Source organism: Homo sapiens, chromosome 8, assembly GCF_000001405.40.
Source record: "Homo sapiens chromosome 8, GRCh38.p14 Primary Assembly".
Taxonomy (NCBI): Eukaryota; Metazoa; Chordata; class Mammalia; order Primates; family Hominidae; genus Homo; species Homo sapiens.
Genome location: NC_000008.11, coordinates 92927291 through 92944531, shown reverse-complemented (window position 1 = coordinate 92944531; position 17241 = coordinate 92927291). Strand labels below are relative to the sequence as shown.

The 17241-nt window shown below is 34.2% G+C and overlaps 1 protein-coding gene across 14 annotated transcripts in view; it reads left to right on the top strand.

Moving 5' to 3' along the window:
• TRIQK (triple QxxK/R motif containing) overlaps positions 1-17241 on the top strand; it is a 134132-nt gene that overhangs the window by 73134 nt on the left and 43757 nt on the right. Inside the window, exons 3-4 of one of the 14 annotated variants that reach the window (XM_047421711.1) lie at positions 13825-13909; positions 14958-15045. The exons of the other annotated variants lie outside the window; for them this stretch is intronic. The gene's annotated coding sequence lies outside the window, so the exon portion shown is untranslated. The remainder of the gene's footprint in view (positions 1-13824; positions 13910-14957; positions 15046-17241) is intronic. 14 annotated transcript variants of the gene reach the window in all.

The following is a 17241-nucleotide window of genomic DNA, read 5'->3' as shown; positions in this document are numbered from 1 at the left end:
TTATGGCTGGATAGTATTTCATTCCATATATATGCTTCATTTTATTTATCCACTTATTCGTTTATACAGACTTAGGTTGATTTCATCTCTTGGCTATTGTGAATAGTACTGTTATAAACATTGAAGTGCTGATACCTCTTTGACAAACTGATTTTATTTGTTTTTGAATATATATCCAACAGTAGGATTGCTGGGTCATATAGTAGTTCTATTTTTTTTTTTTTTTTGAGTAACCTTCATACTCTCTTCCATAATGGCTGTACTAATTTACATTCCCACGACAGTGTGTAAGAGTTTTCCTTTTCTCCACATGCAAACCATTTGCTACTTTTTAATTATCTTTTTGATAATTGCCATTTTAACAGGTGTAAGGTGCTGTCTTGTTGTTTTGATTTGCATTTTCCTAATGATTAATGATATTTTAATATAACTGTTGGCCATTTGTATGTCTTCCTTTGAGAAATGTCTATTCAGGTCTTTTGCACATTTTCAAAATGAGATTATTTGGGGTTTTTTTTGTATTGAGTTGATCGACTTCCTAATATAGTCTGGATATATAGTCCTAATATAATCTGGATATTAACAGATGCATAGTTTACAAATATTTTCTTCCATTCTGTAGATTCTCTCTTTACTCTATTGCTTGTTTCCTCTGCTTTTTCCTCTTCTAAAAAGCTTCTAGCAGAATCCCATTCGTCTATTTTTTGCTTTTGTTGCCTGTGCTTTTGGGATCTTACCCAAAAAAATCCTTGCTCAATCCAATGTGTGTCCAATATGGTGTTTTCCCTGTTTTCTCCTAGCATTTCTCCTAGCAGTTTTATTGTTTCAGGTCTTATATTTAAGCCTTTAATTCATTTTGTTTAATTTTTGTATATAGCAAGAGACAGGAATCTAGCTTCATTCTTCTGTATGTGGATGTCCACTTTTCCCAGAACCATTTATTGAAGAGACTGTTCTTTTTCTATTCTGTGTTCTTGGCACCTTTGTTGAACATCAGTTGGCTGTAAGTGTATGGATTTATTTTTGGGTTCACTATTCTGTTTCATTGTCTGTGTGTCTGTTTTTATGCCAATGCCATGCTGTTTTGGTTATTGTAGCTTCATAGTATATTTGAAAGTCAGGTAATGTGATGCCTCTAGCTTTGTTCTTTTTTGCTCAAAATTGCTTTGGCTATTCAGGGTGTTTTCTGGGTCCATATGAATTTTAAGATAGTTTTTTTCCACTTGTATGAAGGATGTCTTCGGGATTTTGACAGGAATTGCATTGAATCTGTAGATGATTTTGAGTAAAACAGACATTTTTACAATAGTGATTCTTCCAATTCATAAACATGGAATGCTTTTCCATTTATGTATGTCTTCAATTTTTTAATCAGTTTTTAAAAATAGTTTTCACTGCGGAGAGTTTTCACCTCCTTGGTTAAATTTATTACTAAGTGTCCCATTTTTTTTTTTTTAGCTATTGTAAATAGGATTGTTGTCCTTATTTCATTTTTAGATAGTTTGCTTTTAGTATATATAAATACCACTGATTTTTGTCAGCCAAGCGTAGTGGCTTATGCTTGTAATCCTAGCACTTTGGAAGGCTGAGGCAGGCAGATTGCCTGACCTCAGGAGTTCAACCAGACTGAGCAACATGGCGAAACTCTGTCTTTACTAAAATACAAAAAATTAGCCAGGCGTGGTGGCAGGCACCTTTAGTCCCAGCTACTTGAGAGGCTGAGGCAGGAGAACTGCTCAAACCCCTGAGGCAGAGGTTGTAGTGAACCAAGATTTTGCCACTGAACTCCAGCATGGGCAACAGAGCTATACTCTGTCTAAAACAAAGAAGAAATACTACTGACTTTTGTATGTTGAATTCAAATCCTGCAGCTCTAGTGGAATCTTTAGTATTTTCTCCATGTAAGATAATGACATCTGCAAACGGGCACAATTTAAATTCTTCCTTTCCAACTTGGAGGCCTTTTAATTCTTTCTCTTGCCCAATTTCTCTGGCTAGGACTTCCAATACTATGTTGAACAGAAGTGGTAAAAGTGAGCATCCTTGTCTTGCTCCAGATCTTAGAGGAAAGCTTTCAACTTTTCCACATTCAGTATATTAGCTGTGGGTTTGTCACATATGGCCTTGATTGTGTTGAGGTGCGTACCTTCTATATCTAATTTGTTGAGAGTTTTTATCATGAGGGGATGTTGAATTTTGTCAAATGTTTTTTCTGCATCTGCTGAAAAGATCATGTGGATTTTGTCATTCATTCTGTTAATGTGATGTATAATATTTATTGATTTGCATACGTTGAACCATCCTTGCATCCTGGGGTGAATCTCACTTGATCAGAATTAATGATATGGGCTCTTCCTAGTATTTTGTTGAGGATTTTTGCATCTATAACCATCAGAGTAGTTTTCTTTTTTTGTTCCATCCTTGTCTGATTGCATTATCAGAGTAATTACGGCCTCATAGAATGAGTTTGGAAGTATTCCCTCCTCTTCAATTATTTGGAATAATTTTAGTAAAATTAGTGTTCGTTCTTTATTAAATGTTTGTAGAATTCAACAGGGAAGCTATCATGCCCTGGGATTTTCACTGATGAGAGACTCTATTACTAATTTAAGCTGGTTAGTTATTATTGTTCTGTTCAGATTTTCTATTTCTTCATGATTCAATCTTGGTAGGTTGCATGTTTCTAGTTTATCCATTTCTTCTACATTATCCAATTTGTTGTCATACACTTGTTCATAATTATCTCTTGTGACCTTTTGCATTTTTGTGATTTCAGTGCAATGCCTTCTTTTCCATCATTAATTTATTTGAGTCTTTTCTCTTTTTTAAAAATGTAGTTTGGCTAAGAGTTTGTTAATTTTGTTTCTCTTTGCAAAAAACAACTAACTCTTCATTTGTTGACTTTTTGTATTTTTTTAGTTTCTGTTTTATTTATTTCTGCTCTGATTTTTATTTCCTTCTTTCTATTGATTATAAGTTTCATTTCTTCATTTTTCTAGTTCCTTGAGGTGCAATGTTATGTTGTTTATTTGAGATCTTCTTTTTTGATGCTGGCATTTATTGCTCTAAACTTATTTCTTAGAACTGCTTTTGCTGTATCTCATAGGTTTTGATGTGTTTTTATTTGTCTTAAGAAATTTTTAAATTTCCCTTTTGGCTGGGTGCAGTGGCTCATGCTTGTAATCCCAGAGCTTTGGGAGGCCAAGGTGGGCAGATCACCTGAGGTCAGAAGTTCAAGACCAGCCTGGCCAACAGGGAGGCTAAAATACAAAATAAATACTCCACTAAAATACAAAAATTAGCTGGGTATGGTGGCAGGCACCTGTCATCTCAGCTACTTAGGAGGCTGAGGCAGGAGAATTGCTTGAACCCAGGAGGCGGAGGTTGAAGTGAGCCAAGATCACGCCACTGGACTTCAGCCTGGGTGACAGAATGAGACTCTGCCTCAAAATAAATAAATAAATAATAAATAAATTTCCCTTTTAATTTCTTCATTAACCCATTCATTTTTCAGAAGGATGTTGTTCAATTTCTATGTATTTGTAAAGTTTCTAAAGTTCTTCTTGTTATTGATTTCTAGTTTTATACCATTGTGGTCAGAAAGATACTTGATATTATTTTAGTTTTCTTAAATTTATTAAGACTAGTTTTGTGATCTAACATATGATCTATCCTGGGAAATGTTCCATGTTCAGTTGAGTAGAATGTATATTCTTCAGCAGTTGGTTGTAATATTCTGTAAACATCTGTTAGGTTCTTTTGGCCTAGAGTGCAGCCTAAATTCAATGTTTCTTTATTAGTTCTCTGTCTGCATGATCTGTCCATTACTGTAAGTGGTGTGTTGAAGTCCTGTGCTATTATTGTGTTGGAGTCAATTTCTCTCTTTATATCTACTAATATTTGCTTTATTTATTTGGGTGCTCCAATGTTGGGTGCATATATATTTACAAACATTAAATCCTTTTGCTGGACAAGTCCATTTATTATTATATAATGACCTTCTTTGTCTCTTTTATGGTTTTAAAATTTAAAGTCTATTTTATTTGATATAAGTATAGCTACTCCACTCTCATTTGCTTTCCATTTGCATGCAATATCTTTTTGTGTTACTTCACTATCAGTTTGTTTGTGTCCCTGACAGTGAAGTGATTCTCTTGCAGACAGTATATACAGTTGGGTCTTTTTTTTTTTTTTTTTATTAAATCTATTCAGCAACTCTAAGTCTTTTAATTGGAGAATTTAATCCATTTACATTTAAGGTGATTATTGATAGGTCTGTACATTTGAGAAGACAGCCCTGGCTTCTCACATTTACAGGAGTTCTTTGACATGGATAGAATTTCATTATTTTGTCTAGCCTGTGATTCATGAAGGGTCAGCTGGTGATGACCCTGAAGAGAATTTATGTATTCTCTAGTTGGCTGGGCCACTACCTTCGCTGTGATGTCAGATAATGCTACTCTCTGGGTTCTGCTGACTGGTGAGACCACTGACTGGGCTCTCCTATTAGGTGGAGCTGCTGGCTGGGTACTGCAGTGGCTTCTGGTCAGCCCAGATATAAGACATATTCCTTGGCTGGGTAATTCTGCTATTTGGGATCTGTGGTTGGGCAAGGGTGCAGGCTGCAAGGTTAGGTGGAGTTGCTGCTCTGGACAGGTGGGACCTGAGGCTATGCTCCTTAGGAATGCATGATGAGGGTTTGCTTCCCTCTGGGTATGGTACCCTGGGATGGGCATTAGGCTGAATTGAGTGGCTGTTTGACCTCTCGGATCAAGCAGGACTAGTGCCTACATTTCTCCCAAATGCATAGAGGTGGGAATCTCCCTGCCTGAGTAGGGTTGTAGGGTGGGTTTGTTGGCTGTGTTGAGCCACACTGCTTGCCTTCCCAGGTCAAATAGGTATAGCCCCTTTGCTTCTCTGAGATCTGTGGAGGAGGACATCTCTTTGCCTGGGGAGGTTGTAGGGTGAGCTTTTTGGTTGTGTGGAGCCATTGCTTACCTTCCTGGGCAAAGCCAGTGTGGCTTCTTTCCTTCTCTGATATCCCTTCATGTCTCTGACATCCATGAAGCTGGGAGTCTTCCTGCCTTATGGAGTCATTGGGTAGGCATTTTGGCTGTGTGGAGCTGCTGTTTACCCTGCTGGGTCAAGCCATTCTATCCCCTTTGCTTCTCTCAAATTCACAAATAAAACAATTCTGTGAGCTCACACAGAGTGGGGAGATATTAAGGTTTGGACCACTCAGAATGGCACGTCTTCATAATCAACCAGGGCATTTAGTTGAGACCCCACTGGGGATAATGTTTTAGAAGTAGGCTGATCTATACCTAGATTAAAGGTTGCTTAGATGCAACCTAGAAAAAACTTAAGTAAAACCTGACCATACTGATTTTAACTCTCTTTCTCCTCTCAACAAAAAGCCCCAATTGTTTTAAAAGAGTAAAATAACATTTAGACATTAAACAATGTAACAATTGCAGTTCCATTATCTGGTAAAAATTACTAGTCATGCCACAGAGCAGGAAAGTGTGATTTATAACCAAGAGAAAAACAGTCAATAGAAATAGATCTATAAATGATAGATTTGGTGGAACTACCAGCAAAAAATGTAATCAGTTATTATATTTTTAAATATTTAAAGAAAAACCTTAACATAAGAGGAATATAGAAGATATTAGAAAGAATCAAAGGAACTTCTAGTGGTGAAAAGTATAATTTTTGAGTCACAACTTTCACTTTATGGTATTAACAGCAGATAGGACACTGCAGAAGACAAGTTCAGTGTGCTTGAAGATATTGCAGTAACATTGATCCAAAATGAAAGGCAGAGTGAATAATTGCCCCTCCCAACAAAAATCAACAGTGCCTCGGTTAGTTATGAGACAATACATGGTCTCATATATGTGTAGATGTAGTCTCAGAATAGTGGCAGGGGCAGGGGAAGAAATAAAAAGTATTTCAAGAAATCATGTCAGAAGTTTTTCCAAATTTGATGAAAATTACAAAACGATACATCTAAGAAGCTCAGAGAAGTCTGACCAGTATAATAGTAGACACACAGACACCAAAGCACATCAAAATTAAATTGGTGAAAACAATAATGCAAAAATCATTAAAAGTAGCAAGTATGGGTGAGGAATATAAACTAAAGACAAATTTAAAATGGTTGGTGATGGATGTGTTAGTTAATTTGATTGTAATAATCATTACAAATTGTATACATATATCCAATCATGTTGTACACCTCGAATATATATATATATCTCAATTAAAAATTTTAAAATATAAAAAGGTAAACCTAAAGATAAGTTTGAAGACTGTTCCACAAAACTATCCCAGTTGGTAGACAAAGGAGTGTTAGCTTTCAAGTACTGTAAGAATAGTTGTGACCCTAGAACCCTAGAATTCTATTTGAAGAAAAATATTCTTCAAAAATTAAAGACAAAATAAAAGTTTTTGTCTCTAAACAAAAGCTGAGAGAATTTGTTGCCCAAAGACTTGCACTGCAAGTAATGTTAATGGAATTCTTCAGAAAAAAGGAAAATGAAACATCACACAAGGAACAAAGAGTATTGGAAATAGTAAATATGTAGGTAAATACAAAAGGCATTTTTATCATTTTTAAGGTTTTGAAAAAGATATGTTGACTCTTTACTGCAAAAATATTATCAATGGTTTATATTGATAAAAACATAGATGTGAAACATATGACAATAATATCCCAAAGGATAGAGGGTTGAGATTGGAAGTTTACTTTTGCAAGATCTTATATAATATGTAGAGTAGTATAATATTATTTGAAGATAGATTATGAAAGGTTACATAATATGTATTATAAATTCTAGTAACTGCTAAAAATGTAAAACAGAGGAATGACTAATAAAAGTGAAGATGGAATAAAATACTAAAAAATGCTCAATTAATCCCAAAGAAGCAAGTAAAAAAAAAAAACAAAGAAGATGAGGTAACAGCAGATGGGACAAATAGAAAATAAATTGTAGGATGAGGGATATAAATGCAAACATATTTAATTACATTAAATAAAATGATCTTAATTGTACATTTAAAACACATGTTTTCAACTGGGTAAAACAAGCAAGACCCAGCAATATACTGTCAAGAAATCTGATTAAATAAATAACCCTGTGCAAGCGATCTTAATTGTACTTCCTCATTCCTGCTATATAACCACAGAATTTGGCGTTTATCATTTGGGTGCATGTGTGTGTGTGTGTTGGTATAGGTATATTTTTCCCTAAATAATATTGACTATTGATTTTTCATGTTTTAAGTTGTTTTGTAAGTGTATAAATACATGTGTCTTTGTTCACACATTTTAACTGCTTTATATTTCACTTATGAATAAATTATGTAGACATACAGAGTTTTATTTTCCTTTTTTGCTGTTATTAAAAACATTTTCAGTGAGTGTACTTACTAGTGTTTTTGTGCACATATAGAATTGTTTCCCTAGTTCATATAACTAGCAGTTGATTAATGGTTCTTGTAGGTACATAATCTTTAATTTTACTGGGTATTGCCACATTGCTCCCTCAAATATTTTATTAATTACTCTTCTTAACTTATTGTAATAATCTGAGCTCCTATAACAGTTCAATAAGTAGTCATGCATATACTTTTAGAGGTATTCCATAGTATTTATAGCTGCTTTATAGATTTTGTTGCTATACTAAATTAGAATTTTATATATAAACTTTATATATCATAACCTGGCTGAGCTCTTACAAATAATTTCATACAGATTCAAATATTTGTCTGTAGTTTCTCTCCACTTTGCCACCTGGGAGTCATATTATTTGTGAATCATAATGTTTTCTTTTTCCTTTCCAATCCCCTATGCTCTTTCCCCTTTTGTCTTACTGTGCTATCTGGATGTCTCACTGCAATGTCTTTGTCTTGCTTATGATTTTTAAAAGAGAACTTTTAATTTTTCTCTATTTAGGATAATCTTTGCTTTGTTTGTTTGCCTATGTATCAACAGGGTAAAAAGTTCTTTTCTATTTCTATATACTAAATTCCTTGCTTTCTCCTTCCTGCCTCCCTCTGTTCATCCTCTATCTTTCTTCCTTCTCTCTCCCCCTGTAATAATGAATGGGTATTGAATGTAACTTTTATTTTTCTGTATTGATTGAGGTCTGTCAGTATTTTCCTCCTTTAATCAGTTAACAAGAATACTACTAAGATAATATCTAATGTTAAATTGCCCTTTCATTTTTGTGATTAGCCCAGCTTCATCATGGAATATTTTATCATTATGATTATACATACTGGATTTGGTTGTCTAATATTATGTTTAGGATTTTTGTATCTTTGTTCATAAATAAGATTGGCTTGTAATTTTTCATTCTCATAATGATCTTGCCTTGTTCTCATTTCAAGATTCTATTAGCCTTATGAAATGAGTTGAGAAGTGTGCCAATTTTTAGGCTTCAAAATAGTTTAATATTTTATATACCTGATAAAGCTTGTTGTAGGGATTATGTGTTCCTTGAATGGTTAATAAAACTTCCTTGTTGACCATTTAATCTTACCTGTTTTGTGTGTGTATGTCTTATTTTTTAAGGGTAGATTTTTAAACATTGATTGACTTAAAAAATTATAGTTCCACTGAATTTTATTCTATTTGATCTCTACCTTCTTCAGCTGCTATTGGTAAGTCTGTTTTTTAAGAAATGTGTTTTAATTTTTAAATTTATTGATATGGCATTTTTAATAGAATCTTCTTGTTATATAATGTTAATCTCTGCTGAATATTGAGTCTTTTTTTAAATATCTAATACTGTTTGTGTATTTTTTTCTTATTCCGTCAGGACAAGAGTTTGTTCCATGTTATTATTTTTCAAAGGCTCAGTTTTTGTCTATGTTGATCATCCCTTTTGACTCTGTTTTTTAAATTTAATTATTTATTGCTTTTAGTTTATGACTTTTTGTAATTTGAAGGGCTTTATTCTTTTTCTATTATTTCCTTTTTGGTTCATTATTTTTCAATCTTTTGTCTTTTCTAATTTGTGCTTACTTATCACTTTAGCTACATTACTAATTTTTCAAAACTTTCTGTTGATGCATAATACTGTACATAAAGGAACGTGCACAAAACAGAATATGTAGACGGTGAATTTTCACAGAATGAACACGCTTTTAACCAAAACCCTGATTATTTTATTTTAGCAATAATTTCTAAACATTTGCTGTTGAAGTGTTTTAATATTTGTAGTTCACAACATTGATCAAGTTGGAATCTTTTATTATCTTGAACAGTTTATTCAAAAGTATATTTTTCGTATTTTCATTTGCTAGCTTTTCTTTGTTATTTTTTGTGAGACTGAATACTCTTAAAAAGGCCGACAATTAACTATCAAGCAGAACTTTGACATCTTTTTAAATGAAATACCTTATGAAAGGCATTACAGATTTGATAGAGTGGGAATTAGGGAATAGGAGATGGAAGATAAAAAGCTGGCACAAAGTAGAACTTCTGGTTTTTTGTTTGTATTACAGTTTAACTTGGGAAATTCTTTTCTCCATCAATCCATTGTAACAGGAAATCTACTTATGCTTTTTCGTATTGTACTATTCCATCTATTTTTACTTATTTATTTGTTTCTACATAGTAGAGTTATATTAGCTAATAGCCTAGTGCTTATTTCCATTAACCTTTTTCCATGTTGTTTTCTCAATTTTTTAAGCTCAAAAATCTTTATTGTATTTCTCTAGTGGAAAAATTCGGTGGTATTTTAAAAGCATAATTTGCATCATAGCTGATAAATACATGTTATAATACCACAATCTGTTTGAAAACTAGCAGTCTGCAAATACTAACAAAGTGCTAATGCTATAATCACCTGGGACTTCGATATAATGAATGCGTTTAGTACAACTTCTATGAAATTGGATATAGACCAGTTGTTTTTATACTTTTGACATTTAATTACTAATAAAGCTCTTTTAAATAAGTCATACAGCATTTTGAAGCTATTACATTGGAAGCAAAATTTCCATAAAGGGCCTTGTTATTGTTGTCTTGAGCTCTTTGTTTCCTCTTATATACTTAAGCTTATTTCAGTACACATAATTTCCATTAGTTTTAAGATATATATGCTTAAAAGTTATGTACTTATTGTTAGTTCTGTCTTAATATTTAAGGATGTGTTTCTCGGCATGAAAATAATTACCCTTAGCCTGATACATATGCTTATGTATTCTATGTTTTTTAAACTGGAAGAGAGTTTAGCAATTGTGTAAGAAGGGAAACTGATTGACTTTGTCAATGTCATCTAGTCTTTCATTGAAAAGATGTGGCTAAGGTTTTATGCCTTCTTGTCTGGTACATTTCCCTACTATTCTTTATTTAGTCAAGGGATAATCATTGAACGTCTTTTGGAAACTATCCATGTACCAAACTAGAACTTGCTTTTTCAGTTCACCATTGAAATAGCCACCATTACAAAAATAATAGAGGTTTTTATTTCTTTCACACTTTCTCTCCTGCTCTCTCTGTGTGGAACTGAGTGACTTTCCCTAGTCACTTAAGGATTTTTTTGTTGAATTTGGAAACCTAATTACTTGAAATTGATAATACACATAGAAATGACTAAAAATTAGCATAAGTGATGCTTGCCGCTAAAATAGATCAAGGAGATTCAGTGAGTGATATGTTATCTGTGTACTTTATAGTCAGAAGTGTGAGAATCATTGTGTTTAAACCTTAGATTAAGTGATGAATCAATATACAGAAACATGATTTCACAATATATATCTTGAATGTTAGCAATCTGATATAGACAAGCTATATTTTTAAATGTATAAATACCCATGTAAACATACAGTATGTGGCTACACATAGGACTGATGCTTTTAGTTTTCTATCTAGAATCTTTATGCCTTATCTTCAAAGAACACTGGTTTTATTCTTTTATCTACCCATTTTGCAGACAGTCATATGTTTAGGAGAAACAGACCCCATGGCCAGCTTCAGCAGTAGGTGTGGTTGGTTTAAGCACAGTCTCATTTTCCTTGCCATAGCGTGGAGCATATGTCTATAAGGTGTAAAATAAGGTGATAGACCTCTATGGGGTATTTAATATTTGATATTACCATTATCACCAAGTTGGTCTATATGAGCACAGGTTATTTATTCTGTAGATTTAATTCAAATCGGTTCTTATCCTTTGTTTCATAGGTGACTCACAAATTTTAGAAATATTAGGTATTAATTGTTTTGTAAAATATTATACAAAAAATTAAACATGAAAACTTTCATTGATAATAATGTCTGACAGGTTTCCTAATGTTAGAGAGGAAAGCTATGAATATAAATGTGGAAAGGGCGTAGTAGAATGAGAGCTGTGTGATGTTGGATTGGAAATTGGAAGTACTGAGCTCACACCAATACATATATTTCCTAGCTCTCTCTCCTTAGAAGGCCTGTGAACAGTATCAGTTTATTAGAAATGAGCATATCTTGTCCCCAGATCTTGCTTTCTAAAAAACATTCTCTACTAAAGGGGAAGTGGGCCCTTAGAGAAATGGCAGGTCCCAGGGCAGGAGCAGGGAAAACACACGCTAAACCGTAAATATCTGTGTGTCAGAAAATAAAGAGGTTCTTAAAAAAGGTGATATGCCAAAAGGACACAAACCACCTTGAAGGAACTTTCACTGGCCAAATCCAGGACAATTTGGGAATCAAAATTTTAAAAATGATATACATTAATTCTAACTAATTGAATAAAAATATCTATGAGTACATACTGCTATAAACGCATATATGAATAAATAAATGGAGAGAAGGAAATGCTTTTTAATAAAGTAGGATACTAACGAATAAATATGGAAGAAATGAGGAAATTATAAAATCATCACATGGCACCTGTCAGAATATAATTAATTCAACCGAGAAACATCAATAAATGCTAACCAAGTAGTGGTAAATTTGATGAATAGGATATTTACATAGTTTCAAAGCACCTCCACACCAAATACTTATTAATTACAAAGGGGAAAAGACTAAATTCTCTCTCAGTGGAGAAATTAGGCAGGTACCACCTTAATCAAGTGATCCAAGTTAACACTGTCAAAAGAGGATAGCATGCAATGAGAACACTGTATTGGTCAGTTTAGTTAAAACAAACAAAAAAGGTAGAAAACAGGAGAAACTTGCTAGTTAAAGGAAAAATAAGAAATTCACATTGATTATGCTTTGTTAGAATGATGCTAGATGTATGATTGAAGAAGTTAGGGGTAGTTATATAGGACCTTGGAATATATTTGAGGGAATGAGGTACCCAAGGAGGGCGTAATATATAAAGTGAATGAATTATGGGGAACACGGGAACACAAACGCCATAGTTTCATAGGCACCTAGAGGAAGAATGCTAATGAAAGAGGTAAAGAAGAAATTGAAATGTAGAAGGAGAATCAGGAAAGTGCTGACTTGGAAGCTGACGGCTTGAAGTTTGACGACAGAGTATTCAGTAGTGCCATGTGCCAGAGGATGATTTTGTAAATAAGGACAGTCTATCTCAGCATAACCTACTATTGTGATATTCTCATATCTGTTTCAGGTATTGCCTAAAATATTAATCTGTTTTCTGAAATGCAGTATTTTAAAAGAAGACTTGCCATTCTTTCCTGGTACCGCAACACCTTATGGGTGATAAAACTAACTGAGCTATGGTGTATGGTAAACTGTCCTTGTGTGCTTCATAGTTGGGGCAAGGGCTGTCCTGGATGGTCCTGGTTTAAGTTTATCTTGCTGTAATGAATGGGGCCCTCTTTGACTCTCAAAAGTGTTCTGGCTTGGATGGTAAGTTATATGGTCATCCTATTATAGGTCTCTGATGACAGGATATTCCTTTATCACAAGCTGGGGAAATGATTGATAAGCATGTCTCTTAGCCAGTTCTTGATATCTTTTATTCGTTAACCAAAATGCTTATTTTGTTCTGTTATGATCCATTTTAATTAGCTTTCCAATAATCTAGGCCTCTATTTCCCAAACTTTACATGAAACAGATGCTTCTTGGGATGATAATGTGCATTGTTTGAGAAATCGGGCAAGTAATATTGGGTAATGTGACTTATGTAAGCCCCCTCTTAGATTGACAGAGCACATGCATGTAGAGACTCAGAAAAGGTTTTCAGTAGACTTCCCAAACTTATTAATAGTAGTTTTATCCTAAAACTACCAAATTTTGGCAACTTGGTTCACGTTTTGTTTCAATGTAAAATGCATATAAATTAAGAAAAATAAAAATTTTAACATTGGATAAAACAAACTTGGTTATTAGTAGTGATTTTGATAAGACTTAAAGTGTATCAGAACATTTTGTTTACACTGAACACAGATGTATTACTCAGAAATTCTTAGTCAAATGCAATTAACATTTGGGCTAAACATAAAGGCAGTGTCTTTTTTGCTAGTAAATTTTTGTTTCAGAAAAATTTATTGAAAATTCTGAGTCATAAGAATTCACTAATATTCCATTAGAGCCAAGAAAAGGCCATTCATATAGAGGAATTATGATAAAAGAAATTACATCCATTTAGTCAGGAATTACAGAGATAAAAGTATATACCATCTGAGATGTTTACCTCTAGAGCTTATTGTTTTCCTTCATTTTTTAGCCCAGTTTTTGGTACCAGCTGGATGAAATAAAGTTTTTTTATTCCTGTGATAATTCAAACAATCTTGAGTTTTATTTAATTTTCTTAAAATAATCCAATTTAGAGGGATTGTAAGCATTGAAAACTCAAAGTTTGTGATCTTTAGATCATAACCCCGTTTTCAATTACTCTTTGTCTCATCAGGAAAAGCAGTCTGAAGGTTTGTCGGGTAATAGTCAAGTGGATATGAAACTGCCCTTTGTGAACCTCAGAATCCCTGAAGCTAATGGTACCCTTGCTTCTTCTCATTCCTTTTGTTTGATTAAGCTCTTAGCGTGCAGTGGTACAAGCTGCCTCCCTTACTGGCTTTACATCATAATTGTAGATGTTTGTTCTTTTTACATGTTTGGATATGTGTTTCTTCTTGTATTAGCACTTTGTAATCCTGAAAACAGGGTCTGCAGTTTCATTTGTTTGGTATCATATTATTGTAATCTTTTTTTTTTTTTTTTTTTTTTTTTGGAGACCTAGTCTCGCTTTGTTGCCTAGGCTGGAGCTCAGTGGCTCAATTCCGGCTCACTGCAACCTCCACCTCCCGGGTTCAAGCGATTCTCCTGCCTCAGCCTCCTGAGTGACTGGAATTACAAGCATGCACCACCAAGACCAGTTAATTTTTTGTATATTTAGTAGAGACGTGGGTGGGGGGGTGTTTCACCATGTTAGCCAGGCTGATATCAAACTCCCGACCTCTGGTGATCTGCCCGCCTTGGCCTCCCAAAGTGCTGGGATTACAGGTGTAAGCCACTGTGCCCAGCCTATTGTAATCTTTTTAAAATTTATTTATTTATTTATTTTTATTTTTTATTATACTGTAAGTTCTAGGGTACATGTGCACAACTTTTAGAAAGTTTTTAAAACTTTTAGAAAGAGCAGTTTTCATAAAAAAATCTTTATTTAAAGGATAGTGTAATTTATGCGATTAATTACTTTTTAGTTTGACTACTAAGAGTTACATTATAGACCAATCCTAGCTTAACTAACCTATCTTCTTTTACAAATATAATCCAGAAGATTAACTCAAGTACATTTCCCATACTGTTGAAGTCAAACCCTGGTGAATCATAACAATCATTTTCGTACTTGAAAAAATTGCTATTTAATAGAAGTTATCTCCCTCATGTGGCCTTTCAGATTTGAAATGCCTATCCCTTTTATATTTGTGAAAAGTTTAGAATTTAAAAATATAATTCCATGGGACCCAGCTAATGCAGCACACCCCTCCCCCAATGATGAGCATTGTTGATGATGCTTACAAGGCAGCTTTTTGTCTATTCCAGGCAGTATAAATTTAATGTGTTGTTTTCAAGTGTGTCATGTGTCCAGATGCCACAACAATCTGTGCATTAAAAAAGCATTAAAATAAAAGTAAGTAAAATATTTGTGGGTATTTTTTGGTGGGGGCTGGGTTATTTGTGACATAATTATGTTTAGATTAATTAATTCTATTAGGTTTTGGGAAAAACAAGTGCTTTGTTTTCTTATTTCTTGTTTTAAACATTTTGTAATGTAGATTTCTAATGCTCCTCCACCCTCGTCAGCCACCCCATACCTACTTCTAGATTACCTGTTTTTGTTAATGACATTACCATCTGTCTAACGCAATATTTGCCAAGTATGGTCCACTAGCCACCTGAATTTGAAAACTGGCAGGGAGTAAGTGCTTATTCAAAATGCTGCTTCCTTAGCCACTCCCCAACATTATTGACTGGGTATTTTTGAAGGGTGAGGCCTGGACTTTGTATTTTAGCTAACTATCACTAAAATTGAAAAACATTGTCATCTTCAGTTTTTCCTCTGCCTCATTGCCCCCATCCAAGCTGTTCCTATATTCTAAAAAGTAAAACACCAAATAGAACTTCCTTTCTACTTGTTGCATTGATTTATCACTTGGTAGATTACTTTTGGAACTTAGCTGCATTTTTCTAGCCTACTTAGTTAACTTCAAACCTCCTAGTCTTTCTAATCTTATTAAAAAGTATCTGATTTGGTTACCTCACTGCACTAAATCCTTTTATGTTTTCCTACTGAATTCAGAAAAAGTCTAAAGTTTCAGGGGATCATTAGAAACGTCCACAATTTGATCATGCCACCCCAACCAGGCCTTGCTGGTCCACCAGAGAGGCTGAAGGGCTTCACAGTCCCTGCTCAGGCCTCCCATCTACTTCCAGCTGTGTTTCTCAAATGCTAATATGCAAAAGAATTGCCTGTGACCTTGTTAAAAAGATAATCAATGGTTCTCAAACTTTAATGTTGGCAGTAATCACATGGGAAATTTAAAAACAAAACAAAACTGGAGATCCATATACTTTAGCCCCTAAGATTCTGATTGAGTAGGACTGTGATGGGGCCCAGGAATATGCATTTTCATGAGTATCCCAGACAACTCTAATGGTGATTATGGACCATACTTTGACAAATACTGATCTGGACCCTCCAGTTGCTCCCAATGAATAGGTGGTACTAACTAGACTCTTGAGATCTGAGGCTTTCTTCTGTGGTGCTGAATTCTAGCCAGCTGACCTTTCCTGGAGGGATGGGGACTCCTCCATTTACCAAGGCTACAGCTGACTCCTGGAGAGGCCTGAGTACTCATTGCAGTTTTGAGATAAAGGTAGTTCAAGATACTACACATTCCTGTTAACTTTTCTCACTGCCCTACCTGACCCATTTGGTTATAGGTCCTCCACTAAACACTTATGCCCATATTATTCTGTATTATCTTTGGTTTTTCATGGACTAGTCTCCTGCTATTTCCTTCCCTCTCTATCTTTTTATATCCCCCTTGAACCCAGTTAATCCCAAACGCTTTATTAATTTTACCTCTTGACATTAATTGGAACTTGATTCTTCTTACAAGCACCACTTTCCTGAAGCCATCTTAAATGGAAACTATTCTTCCATTGTTCACATACCTGTGAATCAAGAGGTTGATTTTTATCATTTTATTTTTTTATTGCCACTTCCAGAACATTTACATTTCCTGCACATAAAAGCAAACAAGACAAATCAAACAAGAAGCCCAGCTCCTTAGTGATTCATTCCATTTGACTGTAGTGTCCTCTACCTCTCTCTTTTGCTGTTTATCTATGGACATCCAGGTCCCTTCTCAGTCTTTCTAACTGAGTCTTTCTTTGTGTCCTCACCCAAATCCTGCTACTATCCTGGGTACCCTCATGATTCACATGTATGACATATGCATTATCCTGGTCTTTCAGTTCCTTAACATATCTGCCATAATGTTTTCCTACCACTTCAGTCCTTCTGGACCAAAACTTACTCCATCTCAATAATAATATTAATCGCCTTACACTCACACTGACTAGTGACCTTTAATAACCTTTCTTCTCTAGTAAAATAACTTTCACTCCTAGTATTTGGTTTTTGGTTATTTTTTTACTCCCAAATTTTGTTATTTGTTTTTTTTTTACTTTCAAATTTGGTTATTTAACTTTATTAAGTCCAAAGATTGTTCCACTTTCTGCTTAACTCTAAACCACTACTGTCTTCACTTCCTTTTCTACCTTTAGATACCGTAGAACATCAAGTCACCCACTTTTTATA